This window comes from Homo sapiens, chromosome 6, assembly GCF_000001405.40.
Source record: "Homo sapiens chromosome 6, GRCh38.p14 Primary Assembly".
In the NCBI taxonomy this organism is placed as follows: Eukaryota; Metazoa; Chordata; class Mammalia; order Primates; family Hominidae; genus Homo; species Homo sapiens.
This window is the reverse complement of record NC_000006.12, coordinates 69,310,646-69,329,297: the sequence shown is the minus strand read 5'-3', so window position 1 is coordinate 69,329,297 and position 18,652 is coordinate 69,310,646. Positions and strand designations below refer to the sequence as shown.

At 33.0% G+C, this 18,652-nt stretch overlaps 1 protein-coding gene across 1 annotated transcript in view; it reads right to left on the bottom strand.

The window, feature by feature from the left end:
- Positions 1-18,652, bottom strand: part of ADGRB3 (adhesion G protein-coupled receptor B3) — a 754,225-nt gene that overhangs the window by 60,209 nt on the left and 675,364 nt on the right. Inside the window, exons 21-22 of the mRNA NM_001704.3 lie at positions 4,276-4,426; positions 1,409-1,478 (exon numbers count right to left, since the gene is read on the bottom strand). Of these exons, the coding sequence (NP_001695.2) occupies positions 1,409-1,478; positions 4,276-4,426 (221 nt within the window). The remainder of the gene's footprint in view (positions 1-1,408; positions 1,479-4,275; positions 4,427-18,652) is intronic.

Sequence of the window (18,652 nt, the reverse complement as noted above, 5' to 3'; positions counted from 1 at the left end):
TTAATATCTATTTTTAAATAAAATACCTGGAGAAAAAAACCTTAGTCTGACAGAACACTTTAGATTGTGTCTCTAAGACTGCCACTAAATTCCCACTGTATTTTTGTGTAAACTAATCTCTGCCACTAAATTCCCACTGTAATTTTATGTAAACTAATCTTCAAACTGAGGTTTAGTATATCTTTCAAGATATACTAATAGAGATTCAGTATATCTTTCAAGATATACTAATAGAGATTCAGTATATCTTTTATTTTTTCCCTAGGGGTTTACACTGTTATAAAAACTTATGGCTATAAAATAAATGCATTACTTATTGTATTGTATTGGACTTTAATTATGAACTCTTTGAAAGTAGGAACCATCACATATATAACCTTACTTATTCCCATATTCTCAATACAGTGACTTTCCAAAAATAGATGTATACCAATAATTATGCTATTGTAAAAAGTAATAAATTAAGGTGCTAGTGCTGTAGTAACCAGTACTGTGCCATCTATGCTATCAGAATTTTTAAAAATACTATAGATGGCACAAAAATGCTCTGATGACAGGAGCGTCTTAAACTTTTCAGAAGTTTCTTTAGGATAAACAGGTGAAATAATATCTCTCAGTATGTTTACAATTTGTACGAACCTATCAGAGGGTCTAATTGGCAGTGATTCCTACCTCAAACCCAAAATAATTAAACAGAACATCATGCTTTAAAACATATGCTTTTAATAAGATGCACATTTCTTTCCCCACTTCTTAACTGCCTCCTCAACTTGGATGCAGATAAAATAAAACATGAAAGTGCACTGTTTAGATTTAAAATGTTAAATTCAAACACAAATTCTCTCACAGAATTTATCAGCTCTACCACTATAAAATAAGCTGATATCATATACCTTTTCTCCCTTTTAATTTCTTCCACGGTCCAAGTATTTTCTAATGTAAAATCCATTGGTTCCCTTGATCTATAATTTTTAGTATGCATTACCCTAACATAGCAAGAAAACTTGAACTAACATGACAAAACTTGGTTAATAACAATACACATTATCATCAATGGAATTAGAAGCTCATAGCAGCACCACGTTCTAAAAAGTAAGTATGTCAAGACTTATCCAGTTCTCAATTTATTTGAGATTGGGCATGCAAAATAAATATTGAAATATTTTAAAAGCCAAATATGCTGGTCTTATTAAGAAATGGGAAACTAAAACAAAGATTCTGAATAGTGCCACAACATTTATTTCTTAACCTTTGTAGATTTAAGCTACCTTGTTTTGTTCCTTACTAATGCAATTTCTACCATTGTTAATGATTCCATGATAAACTGCAAGCCATCAGCAGTGCCAACCAAGACTCTTTGATGATTTGTTAAATTATAAACATGATTTATCTCTGTGGATGGACTTACTAGTGATCAGTGCCATATCCTTTTGTTCTGGTGAAGCCTACTGATGTGGCCACTACTAATGCTGGTAAACCTGCAAGAAAAGCAATGTCACGCATTCATATTTAGCTATAACCACTATGCATACTGGTCTAAGAAAAGCCAGAACAAACTCCAGGTGCTCAAATTAGATAAACTATCTTTGGATGAGTCACTTCACAAGGTATGTTTCTATTACAGGATTTCTTTCAAGTTGAAAAATATGAGAGAGGTACCTGAGCTTTTAACTTACTGCACTTCTCTGGTGTTGCTAGGTTACCACCACATTTGACACGGGTTTAAATGGAAGTAATAACAGAGATTTAGTACATCTTTTAAGTTATTTTTTTCCCTAGGGGTTTACACTGTTATAAAGGAAATTTATAGTTATAAAATCAGAAAGGCAAAAACTGGATGTTCTGGTATGATGTAATATCGGAGAAGTGGAACATTCCATTGGCCACATATTGATCCACATCAAGCTGTACTTATAATAAGACAGAAAAAAACATACATCTTATGAGTTAACACTTTCTTTATAATTTGCTTATAATAACAAGAATGTAGAAACAGGGAGTTCAATTACCTACATACCTGCTCCAATTCTGAGCTAGCATCTTCTTTTAGTTTACGTTTATGGGAATTACACTTACCTCATTCAAGTTCAATAGAACCCCCCTGTATTTTGGTAGAGTCTCTAGTCTATGCTGTTTAAAGATTTTTTTTTTAGTTTTGGTTATGCCTTCTTTTCAGGAAGATCATGTTTGCCTTTTCCGGTTGAAAAATCCGTCATCTAATCATTTTATTGTATGTCCTCTGTCTGTCTTCTTTCTTACTATCATTTCACATACCTCCTGCTATTCTCTTCTGTGAGCCTTCTCTAGTGGCATCACATTCCTTCATGAGATTTAATGACAAGAACTATGGAAAACATCTCAGAAGGACACACCATAGTGTTAAACAAACACTGGTGACTATACATATATGTATATAAAATTATAAATATATAGTCCCCTCCTCATCCTTATCCTCCCTTTCCTCCTCTTCCCTTTCCTCCTTCTGTTTCTCCTCTTCTTGTCCCTCCTTCTCCTCTTCCTCCACACATGTCATTTGTTGATTTTTTTTGATTGACTGGACCAAGTTCATTAGGAAAAAAAAATTCCTCATGGGTTATAACTGAAGAATTAATAGTATTTATTTCATACAATTTAGATTAAATTTTTTCTAGATTCATTTTATTGTACTTGTTCATAATGAAACACACACACCACTATTCTGCCAACCCATAAACTTTCTGATACTTTAGCACCATCAGTTCAGGTTTTTGCTACCTAGAGTAGTTTAATATTAGCTGTAAATACGGAGACTGTCTGTGAACCCTCTCCTCAAAATCTTTAGTAATAATTTTAAACAAGGTAGTCACTAATCTTGAAAATCACCATGTTTTGTTCTTCATCAAAAAATGTGTTCTTTTACCTGTATTCTGTATTTCTTAGAATGGTACTAATTCATGGCAAAAGTGTCCCTTGATTTAAATACTATCTCAACTTTAGAAGGCCTTTGTCAGGAAATTTAGACAAAAATTTGATGAAATTCTAAGTAGAACAAAGTCTTCAACTTTTGTGTTGGTGTGAGATAGGGTCTTACTCTGTGACACAAGTTGGAGTGTCGTGGTGTGATCTTGGCTCACTGCAACCTCCACTTCCCAGGCTCATGCAATCCTCCCACCTTAGCCTCCCGAGTAGCTGGGACTACAGGTATGTGCCATCACTCCCGGCTAATTTTTTGCATTTTTGGTAGAGATGGGGTTTTGCCATATTGCTCAGGCTAATCTCGAACTCCCGTGCTCAGGTAGTCCACCCGCGCTCAGGTAGTCCACCCACGCTCAGGTAGTCCACCCGCCTTGGTTTCCCAAAGTGCTAGGATTACAGGCGTGAGCCACCATGTCTGGCCTACTCTTCAACTTCTTATTAATTGCTTTTCCATTTGTCTGTGGATAAAGTCCTAATTTATTAGCTAGACATAATAGACCTTGCTGAAACCTAATGAATAATATTTACGTGTTCTTGATCATATTTTTCCAGCCTAAATAATTCTGGAATTGTTATAAGCACACTTATTTGTAATTTCCCAGGTTCCTCCTAGCATCCCATATGCCAGTCTTCTAATACAGTAGATATTATTGTATATTTGGGCTTTTTCTAAAAGTAGCTTCTTAAATTAACTAGGCTATCATTAGAATTGGCCCTATAATATAGATCTTTGAGATGTCCATGTCATGAGGCAATTTGAGAGAAACTTCTTAATAAACACAAGTAAAGAATTAGTTCTCAGTCTGTCAGCAATTCTGTTTCTGCTTTTGAGGACCAGGTCAACAAGCTGTGAGGTTTCATTAATTCTCTAGATGGTGTTCTCCCTATGAAATGAATCGCTTTTATTCTTTAATTGCTTTGAGATTTCTTGAAATGAAATCTTCTAAGTTTTCTTGGTGGGAGTACATGCCTAGTGAACCATCACACATTAGGCCTTGAAAATTTTAAGGTATTTTGCACTTTCAGAAAATATTAACAGAGAGCACTGTTTTTCTGTGTGTAGGCATCTCGGGGTCTCATTTCATACTATCTAGACACTGTTGAATGTTAACTGACTAGCTAAATGAGCATTCAATACTTACTTCCTTTTAAAGTTCCAAATGACCAATGAATGTTCAAAACTGACCAGCTCATGTATTTTCACTTCCATAGATTAAATTAGACACAAAGTAGCCTGTGTCTAATCACTCATGACTGCTTTCTAATGTGTGTTCAACGTCATTTTGAGAAGAGCATGAAACGGTATATCAATATGCTTACCCCATCCAAGGCACAAAAAGCGTTTTCTTATAAGCCGTGTCCTAATTTTTCCAGTTACAGCCATATATGATTGCCACGCCTCAGTCAAAACCCAACAGAATGAAGCCAGGAAGAAAAAGTGCAAAAATGCAGTGGTGGTTGTGCAGATACTCTGTGGAAACAAACAAACAAAAAGACTCACACTGAACCTGGGAGAGGGAAAATGATATGTTCTTCAGGGGATTGTTAATCTCTGATTCATTGCTTTTATTTCAAATATCTACTTCTCCTCAGTGACAAGAGTAATTATTTACAGAAATTATAAACCCTATAGTCTTTATGCTCTATACAGTATTTACAATGGAAAAAAAAAGTCTAATTTCATTTTTGCACTTAATTTTTTATGAGAAGAACCCTGAATGTAAATTTGAACTCAAGGGAGATTAAAATTATTGTTTTACTTGAATTTTTAAAACATAATTATGAAAATTCTCTTTTCTTTGATTTAATTTGTTACAGACATCTTGCATAATTAGTTTGGCTACATTCTTTATTCTTCCCTTTTAACAGATAATCGTTCTTTGTTGTTTTATCTGTGTTGATGTTAAAATTATATCTGTAAGAGTAACAGCCTTTCAAAAGAAAAAGATTAGTTTGCTCTTATACATGCATGATATTCAAGGTGTAACAGCAAAGTACAAAATGAGGTTTGGCTAATAACATAGTACAAAAATAAAATATGTATTTTAAAGTACTTAATACAATGCTTCTATACTATTACTTTGCAATGTGTGTCCTCATCAAGTAATTTTGAAAAGCTAATCATGTCACCAGCAGTACAGGGCTAAGATTTTATAGATATTTTTCTTCACGTAACTTAATCACCTTGAATGTGCTTATCATTAGTTGTGACTCATCAGCAAAAGATCAGCAGCTTCATTTTGGTAAAGGTTGCTACTTTTTTCACTGTTGGTATAATTGCTTTATAAATCTTGTTGAAATGCAAGTCTTTATAAACCAGAACCAACAACAGGACTAATTTGTTCTTTTGTCAGTCATTCTCAGTCTTACCATTTTTAAAAACGGAAAATGGCAAAACAAAGACAGTAGAATTTTAAAAATTGTAAAAAAAACCAATACAAAGAAATAAAACTATAACCCATATCTTCTCATCTCTACCACCATCCACTGCTAATGCAGAATATCTTACTAGAATTTTTTGGCCCAAATTATTCATAGGATTTGTTAATTTTATTAAATTTCACCAGATGTTGACTTAGTTCGCCAGTTCTTCTAATCCTATAAAATGAACTTCAGCATGTTTATCCACCAGGTTGTGTAAATGATGACAGATAATGTTAAGAAGCTGAGTAGCACTGTGCTAGGTATACAGCAAGTGCCCAACCAAATATAACTATTATCATCATTATTATAAGCAGTAGTAAAACAAAACAATTTTTCAGCATGTGAATCTTTGTTTCATGTAGTACTTAAACCTATTTAGTACTTGTTTCTGCTTATAAAAATGATAAAATCATGGAATACTTGAAAACTTCCTCATACCTATACTCTAGTCTCAGGTATAATGCAGTAGCTTTAACCAATTGTAATTCCTCCTATTCTTGACACATTAAGACTTTTATTTTTTCCAATTTACGGTTTAAATATCTGCAGGCTGACTAGTTTGCTTATTTTTGATCTATAGTCACCAATCCATTTGAATTCCAAAGACAACTCTTCCACTTGCTATCCAAAGACTAGATAACCTTTCTAAGTCATTAGTTACCCTTTCATTTTCCTCCACGTTTGTTTCAACTAAATTGTATGCACTAGCAAAGCTAGTCCATCTCTATTTTTAAACTGTCAATAAAGAGTTATACCAAACTGTAAATATGTTGAAATGTTAGACCCTAAGTGTTGGTGTACTGAAATTTTATAAGAAATAATGACATGTTCAATGTCTGAGTACAGAGATTTTAACATTTACTTTCTGTATATTGTGTTCATTACTTCACATCTCCCTGGTATTCACTTTAATTCTAATACAAATTGAAGCACATGTAATTTTGAGCCACTGACATTTATTTCAATAATCATGCCTCTTCGTACAATAATATGGTCACAGACTATGGGGAAATGTGTTGTAGCTAAAGAAATAAGGCCTATGTCTTCAGACAATAGTATTCTACAATAGCTGGATAAACTATTTATCCTTAAATTGCTCCAAGTATGGAGGTAAGCTATCTCAACTTAAGGAATGTGTACATGTGGACTAAAGAGGTTTAAGTCGCAAAACTAACCATATATAAAGAGCATCGCAAAAACTATGATCTTGAAAAATAGAAAAAAAGGAGCTACACTTTGCTTCAGCATGTGAAGAATTAGTATAAAATCAAACACTCGGCCAACAAGTGTATGAAAAATGCTCAACATCACTGACCATTAAGAGAAATGCAGATCAAAACAATAGTGAGTGAGATACCATCTCATATCAGTCAGAATGGCTATTAGTAAAAAGCCAAAAAGTGACAAATGCTGCTGAGGTTGTGCAGAAAAAGGAAGGTTTATATACTGTTGGTGGAATTGTAAATGGTTCAGCCATTGTTGAAGACAGTGTGGCGATTCCTCAGAGACCTAAAGACAGAAATATCACTTGACCCAGCAATCCCATTACTGGGTATATACCGAACAGAATATAAATTTTTCTATTATAAAGACACATTCAGGTGTATGTTCATGGCAGCAGTATTCATAATAGAAAAGAAACGGAATCAACCCAAATGCCCAACAATGATAGACTGAATAAAGAAAATATGGTACATATGCAACATGGAATACTATGCAGCCATAAAAAAGAATGAGATCATATCCTTTGCAGGAACATGGATGGAGGTGGAGGCCATTATTCTTAGCAAACTAAGGAACAGAAAACCAAATATTGCATGTTTTCACTTATAAGTGGGAGCTAAATGATGAGAACACATGGACACACAGAGGAGAACAACAGACACTGGGGCCTATCGAAGGGTGGAGGGAGGGAGAAAGGAGATCAGGAAAAATAACTAATTGGTACTAGGCTTAATACCTAAGTGATAAATAATCTGTACAACCAGACTCCATAACACCCATTTACCTACGTAACAAACATCCACATGTACCCCTGAACTTAAAAGTTAAAAGAAAATCAAACACTCCATACAAGGAAACACACACTGATTTTTCTACTTATATGTCATATTGGCTAAGTTGCAAAAGTCTTTACAATATAACTTTTATGAATAGCAATTTTCAAATGAACTTTATTATTTTCCACAAATGACACATCAGCTTCCATAAAACTGGCCTTTCTAGTGTTCAGGTCTCAGGATTGTTTGATCTCTTTTCTTACATAACCCAAATCCACATCAGTAAGCCCCCAGTGATCAATCATCCCTTAGATCCCCTCAGTACTAGGGTTTTTTCACTTACAAGCCTCAAATCCTGAATCTCCTTTTCCATGACGAGGTTCATATCTTGGCAACTGTTCAATTATCACTATCACTGGACTCACTATTTTGAACTTTGGTCCTACAGTTTTTCTTTATTCAAATGTCTCCATGTGTCGACTTCCACTATGGCTAAGCCTCACAGTTCACCTTTCCAAATGTGAGACTCACTAGCATTTCAAGTTCATCATTCAATTCTTCTGATTTTCCTGCCTTGCCAAACCCCTAACTGGTCTCATCAGTGTCACAGCTGATGAATGTTATTGGCAAACATTTCAAAACTTGAAAATGGATTTAAGTTGTCAAACTGAGCACTGTTTTTACCTAACACTCTCATGTACATCCTTCACACCAAATTCCTAGACACAATAGAAGAGATTGCTTAAAATAACAGGAAAAAATAAGAAGTGTTAACTGTGATGGACTAGAGACTGTGAGAAATTCCTTGAAAACAAAAGTATATAAAGAACAAATTGACAATATGTACCATAGCCCAAAATTAGGTATTGGGAGCAGGAATGAAGACATGGGAAGTAGAAAGGTCATAATGCATGGATGACACAGAAGTTCTGAAGTCTATTTAAAAGTATTTCCAGAAGGCAGAAATCAGGAAATTTGGGGGAAAGGTAGCATTTAAAGATATATTACAGAAAATTTTCTCAAAACACTGTAAAAATTCTCCCGGCGTAGGAGAGACTAAAGATACACACACACACACACACACACACACACATACACACATGCACAAGCACATATACTTTGATGAAATCTTTGAAAACAGAGAATAAAGAGAAAAATCTTAAAAGCTATCAGAGTAAAAAGAAAGATATTGACGAAGAAATCAGAATCAGATTGACATCAGGTTCTTTGCAAGCAACCCAGGGTACAAGAAGGCAGTAGAAAGAGATTCTCAACATTCTAAGAGAAAGTAACTTTGAAGATAGAATTCTACACCCAGCCAAGCCACTGTTCAAGAGAGAGGCATAAAGAAAGATATTTTTTAAATTGGAAGAAATTTTGAAGTTAATTACCTCAAGATCCTCTTTGAAAGAATTGCTAGACAATATAAACCACTAACAATAAGAAGTCCAAGAGGAGGGAATAAGATAAAAGAACTGATGGATAGCAAAGAAAGTGGTAAGTCTCCATGTCTAACAAAGCTGCACATGTACCCCCGGAACTTAAAATAATAGTTAAAAATAAATAAATACATAAATAGTTTAAAAAAGAAAATAATAAGTCTAAATAAATGTTTATTTTACATAAATTTATATAATTTTAAAAATATAGCCATGAAGATATAAAATTGAAAATAATATCAGGAAGGGTTCAAAGATGGGAGAGATTAGAGTTGCAAGGGAGTAGAGGAACATAAAAGTATTCTAAACCTCTTTTTTAAGATGTTCTCAGGGATGAGATACTGATTAATTCTAGATTATAGAAAAATACGCTTGAACATTTATGTTAATGGTTCAGTAACCACAAAAAATAATAACAATACATTTGTAAAATAGCAGAAAAAATTGAACTAAGAAAAATCTATCTGTTCAATTAAAGGTAAGCAAGAGGACAACAAACTAGAAAACATGAGAAATAGAAAATAAAGTAAGGAAATAAACTAATTCCAAACATCAAAAATCACAATAAATGGTAATACTTTGTATTTACTTGTTAAAAGCTAGAAACTTTCATATTGGATGAAAAAAGTCTAATTCCAGTAATGTAATTATGTGACATACTTCAAACCCAAAGACTGACACAGGAAAATAGAGAACAGAGATGAAAAGAGCTAGCTTATGCAAATACTAACATGTAAAAACCAGATGTCACAATGTTAGTATTGGGAGAAAAATAAAAAAGATGAAGAGGGACTTTTCATACTAATAAAAGGAGCAAGGCACAAAGAAGATACAGAAGGAACACATCTTTATAAAAACAATAATAATTTTTCAAAGTATATGAAGCAAAAACTGAGAAAACTGCAAGGATGAACTGTCAAACTAAAATTATAATGATGAACCTAACATACAGCTCTCAGAAAGTAACCAAAAATGGAGGAAATAATAATATTGATGATTATAATGCAATAAATAAAAGTGGTTAACATTCTTTCTTTGTAATATTGTACATAAAAAAACAGAGCATGTCTAGATTTTTAATATACAAATGGAACCTCTTAGGATAGAAAGTGAAATAAAATAAATTCAAGAAGTTTATAATACACAGGACATTTTCACAGACCACAATTTAATAAAATTAGAAATCAAAATTAAAATTCTGCACCTTTTGGAGGAAAAAGCTTTTAAATAATCAATTAAAGAGAAACTAAAACTCTAAATTATAAACTATTTAGAACTGAATAACAATTATGGCAGCATATATATGAAAACTTGTGAAATTTTGCTATGATAATAGAATATTTTTAGACTTAAATAGATAGAAAACAAGAGAAAGATGAAAATTAGTGGGCTACTTAAAGAAATCAAGAGGAATAGATTTTAAAAAGATAAAATCGGAAATTAACAAACCAGAAAATTTGAAGAACAGTAAAATTCATCTATAAAGACAAAGCTGACTCTGAAAGACCAATAAAGCAGCGAAACCTTGGCCATTGTGATGATATTTAAAGGTGAGAGAAAAAGCAAAATAAATAAGTTTAGGAATGAAAATAGTTATACATACATATATATATATATACAGTTATACATATTATATATATATACACACACCCTTGACAAGCTACATAAAATGGACGTTTTTCTAGTAAAACATAAATTATGAGAGATAAAACTAATAACAGATAAAATGGAGTCATAATGGAAGAAGTAGTCCTTCAAAAAAAGTAGAAATTCAGTATCATTTTCAGTATCATTTCAGTATCATTTTCCATACACCAACAGGCAAATTCTAACAAATGTAAGCAACATCCAAATTCACATTACCATTTCCGGGTCAAAGAGAAAGATTAGAAGTATCCAACTCATTTTTTAAAGAGGCTAGCATGACATTGATATCGAAATGAGCAAGAAAGCTGTAAGCCACTTCCACTTACAAACATAAATGTGAAATTACAAAATAAAAGATTATGTCTAGAAATACAGTAAAAGGATAATAAATCAGTATCAAATCAGAGTGGGTCCAGTAATGCAGGGTGACTCAACATCAAAAATGACCTCCCCATAATTTATTACATCAACAGATTAAAGAAGAGAAATCATATGGTCACATTAATAAACGTGAAAGCATTTGATATAATTCAGAACCCAAATAATAATTTTAAAAAATGTTATTTGGAAATTATATATTGAAGTGAACATTCTTGGTTAATAAAGATCATCTTTTGAAATCTTGTACTGAAAATCATCTGTAATAGTAAAATACTAGATTAATGTCCATCAGTCATGAAAAAAAGGAAGATGTCTACCATCACTTCTATTATTCTAAGTTGTACAAGAGTTTCTCACGAAAACAATACAAGAAAAGACAAAAATAAAGATACACATTGTTGTCATTGCAGATAATATATCTCCTTATTAGAAAATCCAAAAATAATCAATTTTTAAACTATTAGAAATAGTAAAAAGAATCAACGGGCTAGTTGGATGCAAGATCAACATATAAAATTTTATTTCCTATACACTGAGATCAATAAACTAATCTAAGTTTTCTATATTAGCAACAATGTCATTTGGAAAATGTAGTCCAAAATTTTTAATTAAACATTACCGATTTGTCTTCTACCTCCCAAACCACACTAAAATGACCAAATTATTAAGTCACAAAGAAAAAATAATAGGCAGTAGACACCATGAACTCAAGGTGTTGACAAATTCAGAAGATTCTGAGGAAAGAAGGTTTAACTGACAAAGAGTGGTAGAGAAAGTTATAGCCTACCTGCTTATAGGGTGGCAGGGCAGGGCGTGGGTAATAGAAATGTTGTTTGTAATAAAGCTTATTCACTCTGTGGACTTTCTGAATGTGGGGACCAGAAACAGAAGGCTTACGCAGTTTTATATGGGGCTGAAAAAGAATGGTTGGTTGAAAAATCGACGTACAGAATAGCTGAAACTTTGTGTTTCCTTCTCTAGCCAACACAGCTCAGCATTGTCACAGGGAAGATTAGTTTCTGGAGAAATCAAATGGGTTGGTTTCTGAAGTCAGATACCAATCTCACTAGTGGATAGGTGTACAAGCAGGAACAAGTGTATGTATTAAACCATAAGACCCTCCTCCTCTCCTTTCTCCTTCACCTCTACTTTCAGAATGTCAGAGATTAATATTCTCCCCCAAAGGGAAAAAACTCTCATATACTGGTTCATCTTTGATGTACGTACTGTGAAGGCTACCTTTCAAAAGCCCACTCACCCATGCAGAGAGAGTGATAAATTTTTACAAATAAATATGCTTTTTAATCCACAATAAATATTATAATAAAACTTGATTCATTTGTATAAATACATACACCTATGTAACTGTAATCAAGATAAAAATTTAGAACATCTCCATCCTGCCAGTCCCAAAGCTTCCCAAAGATAACCACTATTCTCACATCTAATATCAAAAAATAGTAACTACGCTTGATTCCATATTTAGTATCTCTACATTCTCTTCCTTTAGTTATCTTATGTATTCACTCTCTTAGCCTACGAATCTGTTTAAGTTTCTATGTTCAACCAACCAACCAACCAACCGTCCAGTATTCTGGTTTGTTTTCACTGGTTCTCATTGGTTTATTCTCTCTCTTTTCTCCAATTGTGGTCAAACTTCTTGAAAGATTAAGCCACACTTCAACTTCTATATTACCTGCTCTCCTCTTTTCTTCTTGCCGTCTAGCATCTCCCCTAAGCTTTTATCCCACAGGGATCACCCATGACCTCCTAATTTCCAAAGCTAATTAATAGGATGTTTTCAGCAGGCCACAAAAACTTTGGACCTCAATATTTTCACTTACAAATTATGGGAGTTTTATTATACAGTTGTGAAAGGCTTTCCTAGATCTAAAATTCTACAATAACAAGAATTCTCTAATTAAAGCCCTCATCAGGCTATTCACTTTTTAAATTAATTTTGAAAATTTGTGTTTTCTTAGGAAATTATCCACTTCACTTATATATCTCAATGTGTCAATATATGATTGTGTGTAATGTTCTCTCATACCTTTTAAGAAATACATTTTTCCTTTTCTAATGTTACTTGTCTATGTTTCCTATTTTCCATCAGTCTGTCTTATTAAATTTTTCAAACATTACTCTTTAATTTCACTTTGAAAAAATATTATTTTATTATTACAGTGATGAGTTTCTTAGAGTATGAAATATAACTATTTACTGCTTTTTGCTTGGCAAGGTTTCAATAATTTCAGAAAAATATACATAATACTATATTTACTTTATTTCCAACACTCAAATAAATGAGCTAAAGGTGTTAGCATCTTAAAAATAAGCAGTATTAGATACACATCTTGTAAGTTTTTCAAAAAGCAAAAGAGAACATGTTTGTTATGACAGAAAGATTATATAAAAAAATTAATGGGATATAAAATATAGAGAATTGTGCTATTGCTAGAAAAAATGAAAAACAGAATACTGAAGCGAAGCACTTCAGTATACTATTTAGAAACCCTTAAAGAGTATCAATATTTGCACACTGTAATTACAGTATTTATGAAGAAATCAATAATTATTTGCAATTATAGTAACATTTCAACAATATAAGACAAACTAAACTAATTCCTACATATAAAGCAATTATTATTTGTTTAGATAATTTCATCAATTCACATCCTGATTTGCCTATAATAAATAAATTAAGAATACATATATCTTGCTATTCACATGGAATAAAATATGTACAAGGCATTTACAATATAATTCTGGACACACCGGTAACTGCTTACTCATTAATTATGCTATGGAAAGAAATTTTGGTGACGACCACAGTGATTTCAAAGGCAGTTCTTTAAAAGCTGCACTAATAACTGCATATTTACATTATTCAGAAGACCACAGTTCTTGCAGACTAAAAATAAATTATTATGAAGATGAAATAAGATAATGGCTAAAACAGGGATTTGCACAAAGGTAATACATAACTTTACACATAGTAAGTGCTTGATAAATGATAGTTTTTATTTGGCAAAATAAGCACATTTGAAGATGTTTGACTGCATCTTAAAACATGATGAGAAAACTAACTTATAAGCACCTACTCTGCTTAAACGTTAATTTTGAAGCAATGCTGTAGAGGAAATATTTTACAAAGGAGAAAATGAAGCTCAGAGAGTTTAAATAACTTGTCTGAAGTTATACACTCAGCAAATAAAGAAGCACATGTGCTCTTTCCACTATAACATGTTGCCTTGTGCTTTAAAGGGTTCTCATTTTCTAATATTAATTTTCTAATGACTATCCATATTCTTTAACAGTACTGTTATTCTTTTTCAAATAAAAAGTATGTGTGTGACAAATAAATAGATGTTATAATAAATAAACAAAAATTATATTAAATCATGAGCCTTTATTGTTCAAATCACCACCAACTAAAACAGAGAAATGCACCATTTCCAAAACCATTTCCAAATATATTTTTGGTTATATAAACTCCATCAACACGTGCAAATTGAGGTTACCTGGATAAAGCACCTCAACTAATGAAATGAGTCACTAAAACCAATAGGCATTGTGAAGACAAGGTTCATTTCATAAAATTAAATGAAAAATTTGGTGGCAATAAAAATAGAATCAGAAGCCTTTTGTTATTATCACTTCACCTAACCTCCCTTTTTCCACAGCTGCTATGACATGCTACATTGACAGCAGTGTCATTTGTAAACAGCTGAAAAACCTCTCTCATAGACCCAAGTACTTGGCCCATGCTTTCTTTCCCTTGGATGTTATGGAAAATATCAGTAGAAAAGATATGATGGATTTTAGTTCTTTCTTGAAAACTCTTGGTTCATCATTAAATACAAGTTACAGTACTTGCTTACAAGGTATGGCACAAGGTTATGATGAGGAAACATCATCTCTTCAACCCTTTACACAACCTTCAATTTGTGAAAATTTTGAAGCAGGTTATTTTCTACATAATTAAAATATCTGTTACAAGACTAACTCTGAACAGAAGAAACTGTCAATATAAAGTTATGTGAGATACAAAATGACTGATGAATGAGGGAGCAATAAAAGCAATTTCTAAATGTGAGTATCTCAAACAATAACTATCATTTGCTAAATTTTTATAATTTCATATTCATATAAAGCATCACTATTAAAAAGAAAGAAAGTGTTAGATATATGTCAGCAGAGAAAAAAATCTGTTCCACAGATGTCATCTAGTGGAAAACATGTTCATAATTTGAAGATCTTGGAAAGTTTGTCACACATAACAGGAAAATCTGATTTTTTGAAATGTGAGCTGTGGGAATTCAAACACTTGTACATCATACACAGCAGATGCTTCATTATATACTGTTATCTCCAGGCTTAAAAAAATAACAATTTTATTCAAAATGAAATATAATTAAGTCACTTGTTAAATAAGGCCAAGAATTCAACGAAAGCTTTACTAATAATTTAGAAACTTCAAAATGCTAAGACAGTGGTTGTTCATAAAAAGGAAGCATTTTCTCTTAGATGTCTGGAGAGACCAGAGTAAAGTGTTAAATGTTCTCACCACAGAAATGATAACTATGTGAGGTAATGCCTATGTTAATTGGCTAGATGTAACCATTCTACAATGTATATGTATTTCAAAACATCATGTTGTACATGATAAATACATACAATTTTATCTGTCAATTTAAATAAATAAGCAAAGGGTAAAAACCATGTTGTAAACTGTAAGATAGAAACTGATTTACACTATGTTCTTTATCTGTAGAGGAAATCCTTTTTCAGTAGGTTTGTGCCCTCAGGTGTGTTTAGATATCCTTTCCCAGCTTGCAAGCACCATATATAGGCACTCAAAACCAAGGATAATAATAATGCAAATATAAAATTGCTTTCAACTTGCAACAAGCAAAGCAAACAAAATCTTGCAGCCCTGATGCTGAGATTCCTAGGCCTTGAAAATATTTCTTGTATAACTTTGAAGGCAGAAGAGGATAATGCTTTCCTATCAAGAAGACATTTATTTATTCTGTTTATCATGTTTGATCAATGGTCTTGTTGGTATAACAGAACTATTTCAATGTGGAATGAAAACAATTTTTGATTTAGGGGCATCCTGGTATAAAAAGATCATAGGTTTTTGAGTCAAGCTAGTATTTCCCAACGTTGGCTGCACATTGGTATCACCTGGGGTGCTCTAACAACTATGGATCTATTAGTGCTATTCCCTGAGATTCTGATGTAATCTGTCTAGGGCGAAGCCCAAGCATAGAATTGCTAAGGTGCCTCAGGTGATTCTAATGTGCATCCAGGATTTAGAATAAGCAATTCAGACAGTCATGGACTGACTGCTGGTAACTAAAGCTACCAAATGTGTGACCTTGTGCAAATTATCAAACTTTTCACACCCTCAATCTTTCATTTGTAAGATGGGAATGAAAAATACCTACAATGTAGGATTACTATAAAAATTGCTTATAATAAGTGTAAAGTGTTTAGTTCTTGGCAAATCTCAAAAGTATTAACAACAATAACAATTCATACATATTCTCAACCCGTTACAGTAATTTATCTAGACTTAGGCAGTTCCTAAAGTTCTCAAAAGAATAACACACATGGAACATTCTGCTATGCATTCATGTGTGTAATCTATAATGATATTAGAACTAATATACTTCTTTATAGAACCTGCTATGAAAATGATATCAGATAATTAATATTTAGGATGAACTTTTGAACAATAAAATGTATTTTTTTAAGCAAAAACAAAGTAATGCTGCCATGGTGGGGTGCAGGAAGAAGGCAGGCTATCATTTAATCCTGTCCTCAGACCTCTCTACATACCTAAGAGAAAAATGCCTCCTTTTTTAAACAACCACTACAACTGAATTACACTAAATGACACCACTGGACCTGTTACGGAATTCTAGGTGTGACAATTCATGGAGATTTCAAAGGACTTCTATAAAAAAGTACCAATCAACCCTGAGATTGGTTGATTCCATCTGTGCTTATATTTCAAATCCCTATTTGCCTATCTCTGAGCTATCCAACCTCAGATATTTCAAGCCTACTATCTCCAAAAATGAACTCTGCCTTTCTCCTTAAGGAAGTTCTTCCTTCTGTGTTTGCTATCAGTGAAAGAACATTATCATTCCCACCAGGAACTTGGACATCATCCTTGTATTTCCCTCACATCCAGTCAATCACCAATTCCTATTTGATTGCATCTAATAATGATATAGAAACTCCACTCACTTCTCCATTTTCATGATCCTAGTTGGTGCCATCGCTCACTCTTTCCCAGATTATCAGGGAAAGAGTGAGATTCCTGTGGGGAGTCAGCCCTCTGCTGGCTCCACTTCCATTGGCAGAAGTGAAATGGAAGCTCCACAGGTAGGCATGCTCCTAGTGAGCTCCCCTCACCTTTCTCTAAAGAAGTTGATAAAAGAAAGGTCATAGAATATGTCTGGCATATACTAAGTTCTCAATAATTATGAGCAGTAGTTATCAGTATCTTAAAATTAAAGCTGCAAAAGAGGATGTAGGTATGAGTTTTTTACAATGGGAAATATTAAAACATGTCTAAATACTAAAAGAAGAATCACATGGAGAAATTGATGAATCAGGAGTGAGAGACAATTGATTGCATCAAGTTTTGGAGATGTCGTATGGAAATGAAATCTAAAGCACATGAGAAGGACTGAAATTTAATAAAAAGAAGGGTCCCCTCTTGATTTGAAACAGGTAGAAAGGAAGAAAAACTGGGTGTTGATGTAAATAAATTAGCATATTTTATGGTAGGAAGGTGAGATAATCTCAGTCTGTTATGGCTACTACATTCTTTTTGGAATAACAGTTGGGTCAGATGCAAAAGTTAAAGATGTCCTAGGGAGATCAGAGGTTTGAGTACCTGTGAGCAGACTGGAAATTCTCTTTGCCAAGAATTAAAGAGCTAGATAATGTGGAATTGCTAAGAAGCATTGAAGCCTCTGTTAGCTAAGTGACCGTGTATTTTTACCAGCTCATTACCATCGGAAAAACAGATGACCTATACCACAGACTCCCTTCCAACTCTGAAACCACATATTCCAGTCCTCTGCAACGATACAGAAATACTGGTTTTGCTGTTTTTCTGTTTGGGGTTTTCTCTTGGTTCTTCTTTGAATGCACCATCCCATTTTATGGTTTCATCTCCTTCCCTGTTTGACTTCTTGTGACACACTCCTTGTAACATAAGAATAGACAAAGTAGCTCTATGGAAGCAATTCATGCTATTGCGAGAAGCAAATAAAAATTTCAGTCCACTGGTTAAGAAATACTGAAATCACATTGTAGCAAATCCCTTATTCTGAAGCAAGATTGAAGATACGTCTCAAGCTACCTGTTATTGTTTTAATAGACAATTACCTTTGAAAGTTTGGAACCCTACCAGGTTAGTTTCTCAGTTTCTCAGCATGTGGGAAAAATAACTATGGTCAGGGTACTTTAGTCTATATTGGGCCGAAATTACAGATGGCAAAACCAACTATTTCTAGTAATATTACTTTTATAAGTAATGACTATAAATACATTTTTGGAAGATATTTATCTATTGGAAAAAAATAGCTCAGTCCAGAAAAACTCTAGGAGGTCTTTTTCTTTACCATGGTTTCCTTACAGCTTTTGTCATTGAGAAATTCAGGGTCAAAATACTGAGTATCCAATGTAAGAAAATCCTACATCAGGCAAGTTATAAACATTTCACAGGAACATTTTTAAAGTTATGTAAGTATAAAAACATCTACCGGAAATTATGGCATA